Source organism: Homo sapiens, chromosome 11 (genome assembly GCF_000001405.40).
Source record: "Homo sapiens chromosome 11, GRCh38.p14 Primary Assembly".
Taxonomy (NCBI): Eukaryota; Metazoa; Chordata; class Mammalia; order Primates; family Hominidae; genus Homo; species Homo sapiens.
In genome coordinates, this window is record NC_000011.10 from 11,059,208 (window position 1) to 11,073,142 (window position 13,935).

The following is a 13,935-nucleotide window of genomic DNA, read 5'->3' on the forward strand; positions in this document are numbered from 1 at the left end:
CCTCCATTCATTGACTTTTGATTTCAATTATTACATTTTTTGTTTGTAGATGGTATCTTTGGTTCTTTTTTCAAATCTATTTGGTCATGTTTATAGTTCAGTATTGATTTCTCATTTTTATTTCTAAACATATCCATCATTTTGTATTTTATGTCAGATAATTCTAATATCTGAAGTCTTTATGGGTATGATGAGGCTGGTGCTGTTTCTGCTGGCTTTTGCTCAGGTATCATGTTTCCTTGTGTGTTACGCTTTTTTGAGTATAAACACACATCTTTTTTAACTATATAGGAATTATTTGAGGCCTGGGTTGGAAATGAGTTTCTCTAGAAAGAATTTGTATTTGTTTCCAGTAGCCTCCTGGGCACTATTAAACTGGAACTGTTTCAAGCTTGAGGTTTTATGGACAATCTGGGTAATATCAATTTGAGCTTCAAATCCCCTTTGTGGCCTGAGTTTGTAGTTGCAATTCTCAGATGTTTTTGTTCTGTCCACCTAGCAGCCAGATTCTGAGGTAGTCAACTTTCTTTGCTGTTCCCTCTTGTGAGAGGGTGGGCTGTTATTTCAACTTCAGCCTTACACTGAGAATAAGGCTTTGAGTTCCTAGCTTTAAACGCAGGTGGTGGTTCTCCTATTAGACTCTCCGCTTTAAATGGGCCATAGTCTATGTCTCTTGTTTCCTATAAACTGCTAGGTCATGAATACTGAAGCTCATGGTCACCTGGGTTTGGCAGATGCCCACAAAGGAAAGTTGATTTCAACATTCTCTCTAGGCTTTCTACCTTTACTTAGTTTTTGGCCTCTGAAAATTGTTTACTTTTTTTAAACTCAATTATTTCTATACTTTAGGGTGGTTGGAGGGTTTGTCAGAATACCTAGTTTGCTATGTACCAGAGATAGTAGTTTGATCTAGTCTACATATAATGCCACATTTAGTACTCATGATAATCTTGGGATTATTAATCATTTGTCCCAGGAAATGGAGACTCATGGAAGTTACAGAGCTAGCAAATGGCAGAGCAGTAATGGAACGTAAATCTACATCTTCTGGCTCCTCTTCAACCTTTGTTCTCTCTACCACACTACTCTGGTTCCCTGGTTTTTCTCTCTTTATTTAATGCAAATTCCAGGACTCCTTGGGATTTGGGCTATTCCTAAAGCCCAGAAGTGCATTAAGAATTCTAGAGGCTGGCCTAGTATGGTGGCTTACACCTGTAATCCCAGCATTTTGGGAGGCTGAGGTGGGAGGATTGTTTGAGCCCAGGAATTTGAAACCATCTTCGGCAACATAGGGAGACCTCATCTCTACAAAAAACAAAAAGAAAAAGAAAAAAAGAAAAATGAGGTGGGAGGATCACTTGAGCCCTGGGGGGTCAAGACTGCAATGAGCCATGGTTGTGCCACTGCATTCTCTCCTGGGTGACAGAGAAAGACCTTGCGTTAAAAAAACAAACAAACAAACCAAAAAAAAGTATGTTTATTGCAGTACTATTCACAATAGCAAAGACTTGGAAGCAACCCAAATGCCCATCAAGATAGACTGGATAAAGAGAAAGTGGCACATATACACCACTGAATACTGTGCAACCATAAAAAAGGATTAGTTCATGTCCTTTGCAGGAATATGGATGAAGCTGGAAACCATCATTCTCAGCAAACTAACACGGGCACAGAAAACCAAACACCGCATGTTCTCACTCATAAGTGGGAGTTGAACAGTGAAAACACATGGACACGGGGAGGGGAACATCACACACCAGGGCCTGTCAGGGGGTGAGGGGTTAGGAGAGGGATAGCATTAGGAGAAATACCAATGTAGATGACAGGTTAATGGGTGCAGCAATCCACCATGGCACATGTATACCTATGTAACAAACCTGCACGTTCTGCACAGGTATCCCAGAACTTAAAGTATAATTAAAAAAAAACACAACAAAACAAACAAAGAAACAAACAAAACAGGAATTCCAGAAGAGTATTGCTTTAACTGTCCTCTCACTTGACCAGACATAGTTCAGCTTCTCCTGAGGATTCTATTCAAGTGGAAGATCCAGCTAAGACTGGACAGACTGACTAAGTGGAGCACCGTAATTGTAGCCCATGTGTTCCTGGAGATCTGTACAGAATGAGGGAGCAAAGTCTCATCTTCAGGCATTTTCTACTTCATATGGCATATAGAATGTGCTTGCACTTGTAGAGTCCCTTTGGGAATAATGTACTCTCTAGGAGCAGTCCCCCTTTCTGACAAGGCCTCTCTCTCTTTCTTTCTCCCTTTCTCTTTCTTATGTAGTCCTCCCTGCCCTGTCTCTTACCAGAGACTTCAGGATAAACTCCAGGGATTGAGTGCTGGTGTCAAATAAACTTCAACATGGGAAACATCGGAAGAATACATTCTGCACTTCTTCCAGACTTGGAAAGAACTGGGGCCAATTAAAAGTGAACTTTTAAGAGAAATGAACATCTTGCATGCCAGGTTTCAGCTGAATGTCACTGCAATTGCCTAAATTATAACTATCAGAAAAAATTCATTCTAATTATGGAAATGCCATTAGGAGGAGTTCCTTCTGCCTGGAACCAGCTTACAGGATGATTACCACCCACCCCTACCCCCCCTACCTCTATCCCATCTCTCAACAGCAATTCTATATTTCAGAAGGAGAAAAGGCAATGTGTTAGAGTGAAAAGAAAATGTATACCATACAGGATGTAGATTTGGATCCTAACTCCACTATTTATTGGCTAAGTGACCTTGGGCAAAGCAATTTACTTCTCTGATCCTCAGTTTCCATATTTAAAATGAGGATATTAATATCTACTCCACCAGTTTGTTGTGAAGATTAAACAGTAAGAGATGGCATATACTAAAGTATGCAACACCTAGCCTGGCACGTATTGGATTGCTCACTGGAGTGGGGCAGGGGTGGAGGGACAAGGATAATTGTTAGGAGACTGCGGAGAGAGCTCTGATACCACACACTGAGATGCTACTCTTTGGTGCCTGCAGGGTTGGATGGCAAACTCCACGCAGGAGGAGATGAAGACAAAGACCTGGATCTTCCCATAGAATCTTGGGGCTTTCTCCTTCTTCCTCCTGAAAGATTTCCATTCTGTGATCTTGGTAATATCTATTAATAGTTTGACCTCATGAGGGGTAGCAGTGTTTCTCTGCTATTGCAGAGCATCCTATGCCCCATAGTTTGGATCAATCTTTTCCAACAGGTGGACCTTGGACCCTGATAGTTGGGAAATGAGGATTTATTGCAAAGAGTTCCATAGATCCGTACACTCACCAAGCATTGCCTATAAACGAGTATATTTTGAAATTATGTATTCACTTATATTTCAAATGTATATAGATGCTCTTTTGAACAAGAAAATACTTAAGACCGGTAGTTGCTTCAGGGATGTATTTTGGAATTGTGTTTTCTCAGTCAATGAATACTAAAAGCACAACTACTTGTGTGATTGTGGGCCTGATAATTTTTTGTATTTCATGTGAAAGGGTTATAAATACCCACGGGTCTGATGAAGGACTTACATTTTGGTAAGCTAACATCCCTCTCTGCTCTCTGCACTCTTCCATTTCCTCAACCTACCAGGCAGGTGTTGAGGAAGGTGACATTACTACCTTCCAAGAGGCATCTTTCTGAAGGACACCTATGTCCTAGCTATGCTACTAGCTGTTTATCTGCACCCCTGGAGGCCTCATTAGCTGGGTTTTAAGTGCTTGGGCCATTAATTGTAATCTTTTCCCCTACTCTCTTTGTGAGCTCCTAGGGTATTTTATTTGCCCCCAGGGTTCTGAAATTTCCCTTCTATGTATGCTTTAGAGTGACTGACTGTATTAGTCTGTTTTTGTGCCACAATAAAGGAATACCTGAGACTCGGTAATTTATAAAAGAAAGAGGTTTAATTGGCTCATGTTTCTACAGGCTGTACAGGAAGCATGGCACTAGCATCTGCTTAGCTTCTGGTGAGGCCTTGGGGAGCTTTTACTCATGGTGGAGATGAAGTAGGAGTAGCTATGTTACATGATGAGTGTGAAAGCAAGAAAGAGAGAAGGGGTTAGCAACACACAATAGACTAAGAAAAAATAATTAAAAAGAGAAAGAGAGAGAGACAGAAGGGGGAGGTCCCAGTTTCCCTTAAACAACCAGATGTCACATGGACTGAGCGAGAACTCATCACCAAGAGGATGGTGTGCTAAACCATTCGTGAAGGATCCACCCCTGTGATCCAATCATCTCCCACCAGGCCCTACCTCCATCTCTGGGAAACACATTTCAACAAAGGATTTGGAGGGAACAAACATCCAAACCATATGAGTGACTATTTTCATCCACTGTGCTGGGTACTCAATGGGCCTTTTCACTCTAGAAATCCATGTCCTTCAGCTCCATGATATTTTCTTGAACTTATGTTTAGTGTCTGTCTCTCTACCATTTTATCCTTTCTACGTCTAGAATTCCTATTTTTCAGTGACTGGATTGTCTGAGTTGATCTTTTAATTTTTTAAATCTTTTCTCTCCCTCATTTTCCATCTCCTTATCTTTTTGCTTTGCTTTCTGGGTTATCTATTCAATTTTATCTTCCAGCTTTTGTATTGAATCGTTCATTTTTCCTAACAGGTTTCTGTTACTTTCTAAGAGTGCTTTTTGTGTGTTGTCTTCTGAATATTGCTTTTTAATAGCATGCTGTTCTAATCTAACGAATTCAAAATCTTTAGATACTTCCTCAGGGTTAATAGCAATAGATTTTTTGATGTTTTTTCCCTGTATAGTCTCTGCTTTTCTCAAATTGCTTTTCCCCATCTGCTTTCGTCTGTCTCCAGGCTAGAGGCATTCCTCACATGTTTGGGGATCCTCGTCTGTGTGTGTATGGTTGGGATTCACCACCCCTAGGCCTCAGTGTGGGGTAACTTTGCTGTGCTGCCATCCAGTACAATAGCCACTAGCCACATGGGGGCTATTGAGCACTTGAAATGTGGCCAGTGCAACTGAGGAACTAAACTTTAAAATTTTAATTTAGGCCAGGCGTGGTGGCTCACGCCTGTAATCCCAGTACTTTGGGAGGCTGAGGCAGGTGGATCACGAGGTCAGGAGCTCGAGACCAGTCTGGCCAATAATGGTGAAACCCCATCTCTACTAAAAATGCAAAAATTAGCCAGGCGTGGTGGCGGGGACCTGTAGTCCCAGCTTCTCAGGAGGCTGAGGCAGAAGAATCGCTTGAACCCGGGAGGTGGAGGTTGCAGTGAACTGAGATTGTGCCACTGCACTCTAGCCTGAGTGACAGAGCGAGACTCTGTCTCAAAAAAAAAATTAATTTTGATCAATTTACTTTTCAAAATATATAATCTATTCAGTATAGAAAAACGTTTACATATTCTGGAACAAATTGGGTATCTGGATCTACTTTTTCAACTGTAGATTTTATGAAATCTAACAACAGATCAAGTATTTTTAATGAAAATTCGAGATGTGCTATAATCATAAAATACATACTTTTTGAAATGAAAAAATGTAAATGATCTCATCAGTAATTTCTTATATTGATTACATGTTGAAATGACATTTTGTACATATTGGGTTCAACCATAATATTAAAGTTAATTTTACCTGTTTCTTTTTAGTTTTAAAAATGTGGATACTAGAACATTTAGAATTATGTATGTGGCTTGCAGTATATTTCTATGGGCAGTACTGCCCTAGAGGCTAGAGAGGGTGCTCCAGTGGGGATGGGTGGTCCTCCAGCTTGGGGCTGGGTCTCTGCCTCATAAATAGACCTCGAGCCATGTTCCCATTTGAGACCATTATTGGGCCTTTGAGACTTCTGTGGGGGCAGATCCTGTGGTTGTTGGCTTTGTTTACCATACTCACCTTGAATCCAGTTGAATCTTTGGGCTTGCTTGTCAACCACCAAGTGATGGTTTGCTTCTAGGTTTCTGAAAGTTTATTGCTATTGACTCTTCACCTTTAATCTTTGTCCTTGGGATATATATATCATTTACTGTTGCCTTAGTGGGGTTTCAGGAGGGAGCAGAGATAAAAACACATGTCTTCAATCCATCATCTTGAACTGGAAATCCTAAATATCTTTTGATTCCTTCTTTTGATCCCTCCTACTTTTGTATCCTCATGGTTTCCTGAGAGGAAGGTTGTGTCTGCCTCTGCCAGTGAGAGCCCCAGACCACGTCCAGCCTCTCCCCAGGGTAAGCTCTCTTCTAGGCTGCAGATCTGATTCTGTTGCTTCTCTCTTTAAAATCCTTCACCAGCTTTCAACATGTAAATAAAACACTCAAGCTCCTCAGCATGACAAAGATTCCCTATGGGGTGACCCCTTTGTACCTCCCTACTGTATCTGCTACTACTCTCCAAATTCCATCTTCCATCATCCCAGGGACAGAGCAACTCACATACAAGCTACCATTGACGCCTCTGCTTTGCCCATGCTGTTCCCTCCACTCCCCACCTTCTCCGCTGGGCTAACTTCCCATCTAGCCTGGGTGTCCTGCCCACAATAACAAGAGTGGCCAGTACATACAGCTTGTGACAGGCACTCTTCTGGGCCCTTTTACGTATTTCAGCTCATCGCTGCTATCCTCATTTTCTATGTGAAGAAAGAGAGGCACAGAGAAATTCGATGACTCTCCCAAGTGAACCAACAAGTTGGAGTTTGAACTCTAGAGTTGCTGGCTGTGTGTGTATGAAAGGTACCCTGAACGTTTACCATGCTATAGTGGCTGGCTCACCATTCTATCATCCCTACTGGACTGGGAGCTGTCTGAGGCCAGGGTCCAGGTCTTTTTTTTCTTCTTTTTAGAAATTTGTATCATAAATGCCTAGCACAGGTCCTGGCATACAGTAGGTACTCAAAATATATTTGTTGAACAGACTTGCCATTCCTAATTGTCTAATTGTGGCCCCTCTCAGCTTCTCTCCTGTGCATGCTACAGTCCCATAGGCAAGGTTTTCTGGCCAATTCCCTTTTCATGGTAGTTACTCAGAAAATCATGACTGTCAGTTCCTAACGGTATTGAAAGGGAAAAAAGACCCATCAAAAGACATGGTGAGCAGCTTCCCAAGCATTTGCTTAAACATGTTTTGTGTGCTTTTGGAATGGTAGTCATATTATTAGTGGTATTATTATTTTAAGAAATCACTGGTTTAAATCATCACAGAGGCTTAAATGATGTGGAAAATTCTAATGATTTTCCTTTGATGAAAAGATTTTTTCCCCATACTTAGCATAATCTTCCTTTGAATTATGCCAGGAAATCTTAAAACCGTAGCTAGTTTTTTTTTTTTTTCCTCTCTCATTGCAATTTTCCTCTTTTTGGATGCAGGTCAATGAACCATGGGATGGAAGGAGGTTTTTCCAAGCATGATGGGGAGGCTCTGCAAGAGGCAGCTTGGGTGCAGAAAGCCCCAAAGTTTGTGAGCTGGGGAGCTAGGGCCCATGGGAGAAAGCAAACTAGCCAGGGCACAGGCACAGCTTGCCAAAAGCTGTCCTGGCCTCAGAGCTTGGTTCTAGGGAGGACAGATACTGGTATCAAGAGGTTTGCCTGTAAGTGGTCCTATCCCAGGATAACGATGGAAGAATCAAGTCAGGATGGCTCCAGAGTTTTCATGTTGGAAGGCTTTAGGGGGTGACAACTTGGCTAAAACAAGATCGAAGCTGTTCTTGCAATATACATAGAACTAAGAAGAGTGTAATAGTTCAAATTAAAGTCGGGGGGCAGTTGGCAGAGTGAAACTCTGATCATCCTATCTAAATAGCAACCCCCATTACTCCTTCCCTCTAGACTACTTTTGTTTTTCTTCCTAGCCCTTCTGAACAAATGATGGAAGGGATAAGGCCTCTCACTACTCCCTTCCCTGGTGAGGCAGGCCTGGTACTGTCACTAGCCGGATGGTGCTGCCCCAGGTGTGGCAAGATAGGGTAGCACTTATAATCGTGGACTCTGGAGGCAGGCAGATCTGAGTGCTAGTTCTGGCCCTGGCATGTATTAGCTGTGTGACACTGGGGATTCTACTCTTGGCTTCTTGGTTTCCTCATCCATGGAATGTGGATGACCTCTTGGGGTTGTTTGGAGGATTAAATGAGATTCTAATGTGTGTAAAGCATTCAGCAGGGTGCTTGGTGGCATATGGTAAGCTCTTGTTATTACTAATGTTTTGTTACTAACCGAATGAATGTTCCCTTCTAAAAGGGTACCAGGAGGCCATGGGGAGCTCCAGGAAGTTGAATGGGCTCTGTGGGGAGCGGCTGCAGGAGCTCAGGGTTGGGCTCAAGTTTGGAGCGAGGATGGGATACACAGCAGGGAAGACAGCCAGTTATGGGGACAGGGTTGAAAGAGGAAACTCCAGGGCTGTGGATGCAGAGGTCTGTGAACTGGGCTCAGAAAGAGCCTCAGAGCTGCATATGCCTTCCCAGGTCTGGGGCAAAGGAACTCACTTTCAGGCTGACGATGGGAGCTGAAATCCCTGAGATGCTCTCTGGTGGGATGGGGTTGGGGGATCTTGCAGTGTGGGCCCACTCAGCAGTATACGCAGCACCAGGAAGCAGACCATGATACCCTTGGAGCACCTTTTCTCCAGCCTGGCTGACTCTGCCTGCTGAGGGCCTCCACCTGCTCCTCCAAGTGAGGGGTGTCTCCAAGTGTGTGTAGGGAGGGGCAGCGATGGTGCCAGGACTCCAACCATCGGGAGGTAAGGGAAACGGAATCTTCTCTTAGAGTTCAACCATAAAGTAGGTCAGGTAGGATCAGGTAGAGCTTAGCAGAGCCACCTTAGAGAGGCAGTGAGACATGGAGACTGCAACCTCTGGAAAGAGGTGGGGACAGTCAGGCAGAAGGAGGGCTGGCCAGCTTCAGGAGCCCTCATCACGGAGCTGCAAGGGCAGAGGTGGAGGCTTCTGCAGGGAGAGTGGAGGGTGAGGCCTCCATCTGCTCCTCTGGCAGGCTGTCTTTCTGGGGGAAGAGGTATCAAGCCATCCTGGCCCAAGAAGCCTAGTCCTTCCCAGTGACCCTGAGCTGGCTCCATGCTCCCTGGCTGCCTGCTGCCTGCTGGCTTTGTACAAAGCTGTCTCCAGGGGGAAGGGACCTGCTCGGGCTCACATATCCAGGCGTCTTGGCACTGAGAGCCCTGGCTGCAAATGAACACACTGGTAACTGGTTTAGACGCCGATCCCTTGTGAGCTTTGGGTGAGAATTCACCTTCCTGAGTCCTCTTCCTCTGGGGAACTGACAGAATCTTGTTTTTAGGCCTAAGAGGATGAGGGCCAGACCCTAGACTAGGGAATTTGCTAAAGTAGTGAATGCTACCCTGGGAGACTGTCAGGGAACAGACAACAGCCTTGCTGAAGTGAAACCCACCTTTACCCTGGACCTTTTCATCTGACGGCTAATAATATATGTATATGGCTGTATAGGCACACATGCAGCCATATATGTGTGGCCGTGTGTGTATGTACACATTCAGCCAGGCATGTGAAGGGTGTAGGGAGCATGGGACATGGGAGCCTATACTACTGTCTTTTCCTACAGCCCTCCCTACTCTCTTTGGGTGTCACTATGTGTTCAAAGCCACATATGTGGCCTTAGCCCACGACTTAATATCCTGGAGGTTAGGAATACCTGTAAGTCCCACCTTACTTATAACATTATGGAAAATAGCATGGGAATGAAGTCAAATAGGCCCTGGTTCATAAACTAGATGGCCCTCTTTCTATGAATGGTTATATGTTTTGGGGCAAGCCTTTTAAACACTCTGAGTCTCAGTGCTGAAATGGACGCCCACAGTCATCATCCATTTCAAAGCCCATTTCTCCTGTTAGAGGCATATATGGTTGTGTTAGCATATCCATCGTTTTTTATAATAAATTTTCCTCTGGTTTTAATACAATACACTTTCTGGAAAGAACCTATCAACCATTCATACTTTAGTGTGAATTTAGGTCACAGTGTCATATAATCTTACAGTGGCAACAGACCTTGAATTGCATCTAGTTTTACATTCCACCAAATGCAGAGATTCTCTGATTTGTGACTCTAACATGGCCACCTAGACTGTCGTTTAACTCCTCCCATGGCAGGAAACTCACCATGTGCCACTCCTCCACATCCAGGTAGCTCTAATTGCTAGAGTAGAATGAACTGAAACTTGCCTCTCTGCAGCTTCCTACCAGCAGTCCTCACTCTCCTCTCTAGAGCAATTACAAAACAAATTGTTTCCCCCTTCCCATGACAGCCTTTCAGGTCCATGCGAGCTCTCATGACCCTTCTTTTCTCTAGGCCGAGTGTCCTATTTTCTTTACATATTCCCAATAGGACTAGTTTTGGGTTCTCCCACCATCCTGGCCACCTAGGCATCTGTATACGCTCCAACTTTAAAAATTCAGCATTGAACATATTCCACCAGGCAGGGTCTACCAACACATTCCTTCTCCTGGGGCATTTGACATTCAAGCCTGGCCTCTCATTGTGGGAGGAGAGGTCTTCGTTCCCTAAGACAGACATTTCAGATACCAACTTACAGCTGTGGGAGACATGAAGAACCAAGTGCCACCTATGCACAACCACATCCAGGACTTAATTTGCATAGCTTTTTAATCTGTGGGGGACAATCTGCATGCCACTTGGGCCTGCTCTGTTAGTCTGTAAGTTTACCCAGGGCAGATATTGAGTCTAACCGTTCCTGGATCCCTCCAAGCACCTGCTGCATTGGTCTGCCTCCCTTTAGCTGTCAATAAATGCAGTTGATTGATGGACTCACTGGGGCTTAAGAAGTCATTTTCCACTTTGTTGCATCTCAGAATCCAGCTGTGTCGAGCTGGAGCCAGCCCTCTGCTTACTTGTTTTCTCTGTGAACATGGGCCCAGATCTCATGGCTTGCCCATGCGTTACAATAGGATGAATTTCACTTTGGAGCTCTACTCTCTTCTACCCCCAACTAGCGGGAAACCAGAACCCTGAGGGCAGCGGCACATCCCACACTGCAAAGAGCCCTGGGCCCCTTCCCCTTCTTATATTTTTTCTGACAAAGGCCCAGTAATGAAAATTTCCTAGCTGAAGGCATATCACTTGAGCTGCAAGTTATGGAGAAGAGGGCAATGTACCAGACAGATGTTTCCAATTGTATGTTTATTGAGCTTCTTGCCTTTGCTGCTCCTCCTGCCAGCCCCTCCCTCTCTATCCCTCCTCCTCCCTGTTGCTGCCACTAAATCAAGCATCTCTTCTTAAAATTGTAATCACCAAAATAAGGTGGTGATTTATAAGGAATTCTGAAATACCAAATAATCAGCCGAACACTTCACTTTAATGGCAGCAATAAGTCAAGTGTTTCCACGCTTATCTCTGGAGGAAGCACATTGGTCTTGGTTGTTGCAAAATGACAAATGCTCTTTTGTGAGTTGTAACAAATCAATTATCCACATGTTGAAAACTGAGCAACTCCTTTTTAAAGACAGAATTTTATGGATACGTTCTAAAAAAAAATGTCCCAGGGAAGTGGGGGTACTGGAGCTCTTTAGTTGTTTTTCTGGCAAAAGAAAATTGGAGAAATAATAGCTCCAAGGAGACAGCTGCCCAAAATGACATCAATCAGAGATGCGGTCTCCCTGAGCCTATGGAAAGTGCACACAGAATGCTCAGGTTTGTTTCTCATCCAGTCTGAGCAGGTAACCAGGAGTCCGCCTCCACCTGCGGTGGCATTTTCAGTAGAAACTGCTGGCTCCCCAAAGAGCCCTGTGGGGGCATTCAATCCTCAAGCTCTCCTTGGGCACATATGTCTGCCTTGTAGTTCTCATTTCAAGGAGAATTTCTACTTTTTCCGTTAAGAAGGAAGTCACGCCTCAGTAGCTGGCTCTGGGGTTGGAACCTGTGTTATCTCGTTATATATGGCCCCATCTGTTGGGGCCGCCCAGAAAGACTCGCGTGCCCTTTCCCAGGTTCTATTTTCCTCTCCTCCCACGTCACATCCATTTGCCACACAATCAAATACAACAGCATCTGCTGTAACCTGTCCTGTCAAAGCAGGTGGAACTCATTGTCATCCCAAACCTTCTCCCAGCTGTGGGTTTGCCAAAGGCCCTGAGAAGGTCATGCTGTCACGATTCCAAATGTGGCAGTTGTGCCCGTGCATGGGGCTTCAGCTGCATCTGGTGCCCTGGGTACTATTGCGTGCAACACTGCAAAAGGATCTCAGCAAACTGGAATGTATCATGGGGTGCACAGAAGGTGGATGGCTTGGCCACTGTCTCATGATGAATTGTTAAGGGACTATGAATGCTCTGAGTACAGAAGAAGAGACTAGCATGTGGGGTTGATGCAGAACTGGTGCTGGGACCCTGTCCTTTGTTAACAGTGTCCAGGCAGAGGAGGATTGGCTGGTAGGTAGCAGGTGAGCAGGTGGATGTGCCAGACCTTGCATCTCAGGCTGTGCATGGCTCTGTCCCTCTGAGTGCTGAAGCCTTGGCTGGCATGAGCCTGCAGTGCAGCTGCTGTTTTGGTATTAGACTCTCTGTCCCTGCTGTCCACTGTCCTGCCTGGCCAGTCCTCTACCACTTTCTCCCTAGCCCAGTCCCTCTGCTTGGCTCCCCTTAGCAGTCTTCCCTTCCTCCTTTTTCGTTTGTCCTTAAATCACTATTTTTCTCAATAACTTTCTTTCTTTTGTATTCCACCCCACCCCTTTTCACAGTTCTCAGCTTTCCTGGTTTGGATGCTCTGTGGATGACTGTTACGATCCACTCAGTGGTTCCTCACTTCAGCAGTGATGCTGAGTGCTTTCTATGTGTTGAATAAATACACATGCAAACAGTACTACCTTGTGAGGGTGAAAGCTGGTGTTGTTAGAGAAAATAACAAGAAGGACCCACCTGAGGTTGCATAGTCAGGGACTGCTCCTCTGAAAAAGCAATGTTTAGAATTGAGACCTGAACAATGAGTCATTCAGGTGAGCTCAGGGGCCAGAGTGATGCAGGTAACAGAATAGGATGTGCACAGGCCCCGAGGCAGAAAAGAGCTGGGAGGGTTCCAGAAACTGAAAGAAACTCCCTCCCACCTTTTTTTTAAATCAGGATAAATGCATGACAAGACCCAGGACGCTTCCTGCCGATGGCCTTTAACCTTGCTATTCCCACTGCCTGGGAAGCTCTTGTGCCATATGGTCACATGGCTGGTTTCTTCCTTTTGTTCATATCTCTGCTTAGGTGTCACCTCCACCAAGAGGCCTACTTTGATCACTCATGCACACTCACTATCCCTTACCCAACTATGTGTGTGTGTATATTTTGTGGTGCCTACTAGTAAATGAAGTTGTTATTTATTTGATTACCTCTTGATAGAAGATATTCCACTATCAGAATGGACACCCCACAAATACAAATCCTGTACTAATAGGCTGTCATATTCCCAGCACCTGGCAAACAACAGGCACTTAAGAAATGTTTTGTGAATTAATGGATGATGAATGATAGGATGGAAAAGCAAAACATTGGTAAGGAAATGTAGCTTCATTATGACCAAGCACTCATAGAAAAAATGCTAAAAGGGAAGAGGGAAGATGTGTTAGAGATTCCTGCCAGGATGTTATTAAAGAGGTAGAAAAAATGTGTAATGAGCATATTTATTATGTGAACGTAAAGGCCAGTACTTAAGCTCCTTGCTCTTAAGTAGGCTAACATTTCTCCTGTTTGCATTATGAATTTTCTTAGCAACTCCCGTTGCCTTTATGATAAATAAATACAGACACATTTTTAAAAGCCGTTGTTAATAATTAAGGGACTGCCAAGCCCCCAGTGAGTTCACTGCTTGTCACTGGTTATAGCAAATGCTCTATAGTGAGTAACTCTCACCTACAATCGTGGACACCCTTTGGTGACCATGCCCTTTCAAAGGTTCATATCTGGTTGTTTAATGTTTGCACCGTTGGGAGGGGA

The 13,935-nt window shown here is 44.2% G+C and overlaps 4 annotated features.

Moving 5' to 3' along the window:
• Positions 6,011-6,612: an enhancer, noted in NCBI's record as "OCT4-NANOG hESC enhancer chr11:11086765-11087366 (GRCh37/hg19 assembly coordinates)". NCBI's record gives its function as "activates a minimal SCP1, AML or CMV promoter by ChIP-STARR-seq in naive H9 embryonic stem cells {active_cell/tissue: H9 hESC(naive)}" and the evidence as "EXISTENCE:reporter gene assay evidence [ECO:0000049][PMID:30033119]".
• Positions 8,461-8,962: an enhancer, noted in NCBI's record as "H3K4me1 hESC enhancer chr11:11089215-11089716 (GRCh37/hg19 assembly coordinates)". NCBI's record gives its function as "activates a minimal SCP1, AML or CMV promoter by ChIP-STARR-seq in primed H9 embryonic stem cells {active_cell/tissue: H9 hESC(primed)}" and the evidence as "EXISTENCE:reporter gene assay evidence [ECO:0000049][PMID:30033119]".
• Positions 8,963-9,462: an enhancer, noted in NCBI's record as "H3K4me1 hESC enhancer chr11:11089717-11090216 (GRCh37/hg19 assembly coordinates)". NCBI's record gives its function as "activates a minimal SCP1, AML or CMV promoter by ChIP-STARR-seq in primed H9 embryonic stem cells {active_cell/tissue: H9 hESC(primed)}" and the evidence as "EXISTENCE:reporter gene assay evidence [ECO:0000049][PMID:30033119]".
• Positions 12,856-13,361: an enhancer, noted in NCBI's record as "OCT4 hESC enhancer chr11:11093610-11094115 (GRCh37/hg19 assembly coordinates)". NCBI's record gives its function as "activates a minimal SCP1, AML or CMV promoter by ChIP-STARR-seq in primed H9 embryonic stem cells {active_cell/tissue: H9 hESC(primed)}" and the evidence as "EXISTENCE:reporter gene assay evidence [ECO:0000049][PMID:30033119]".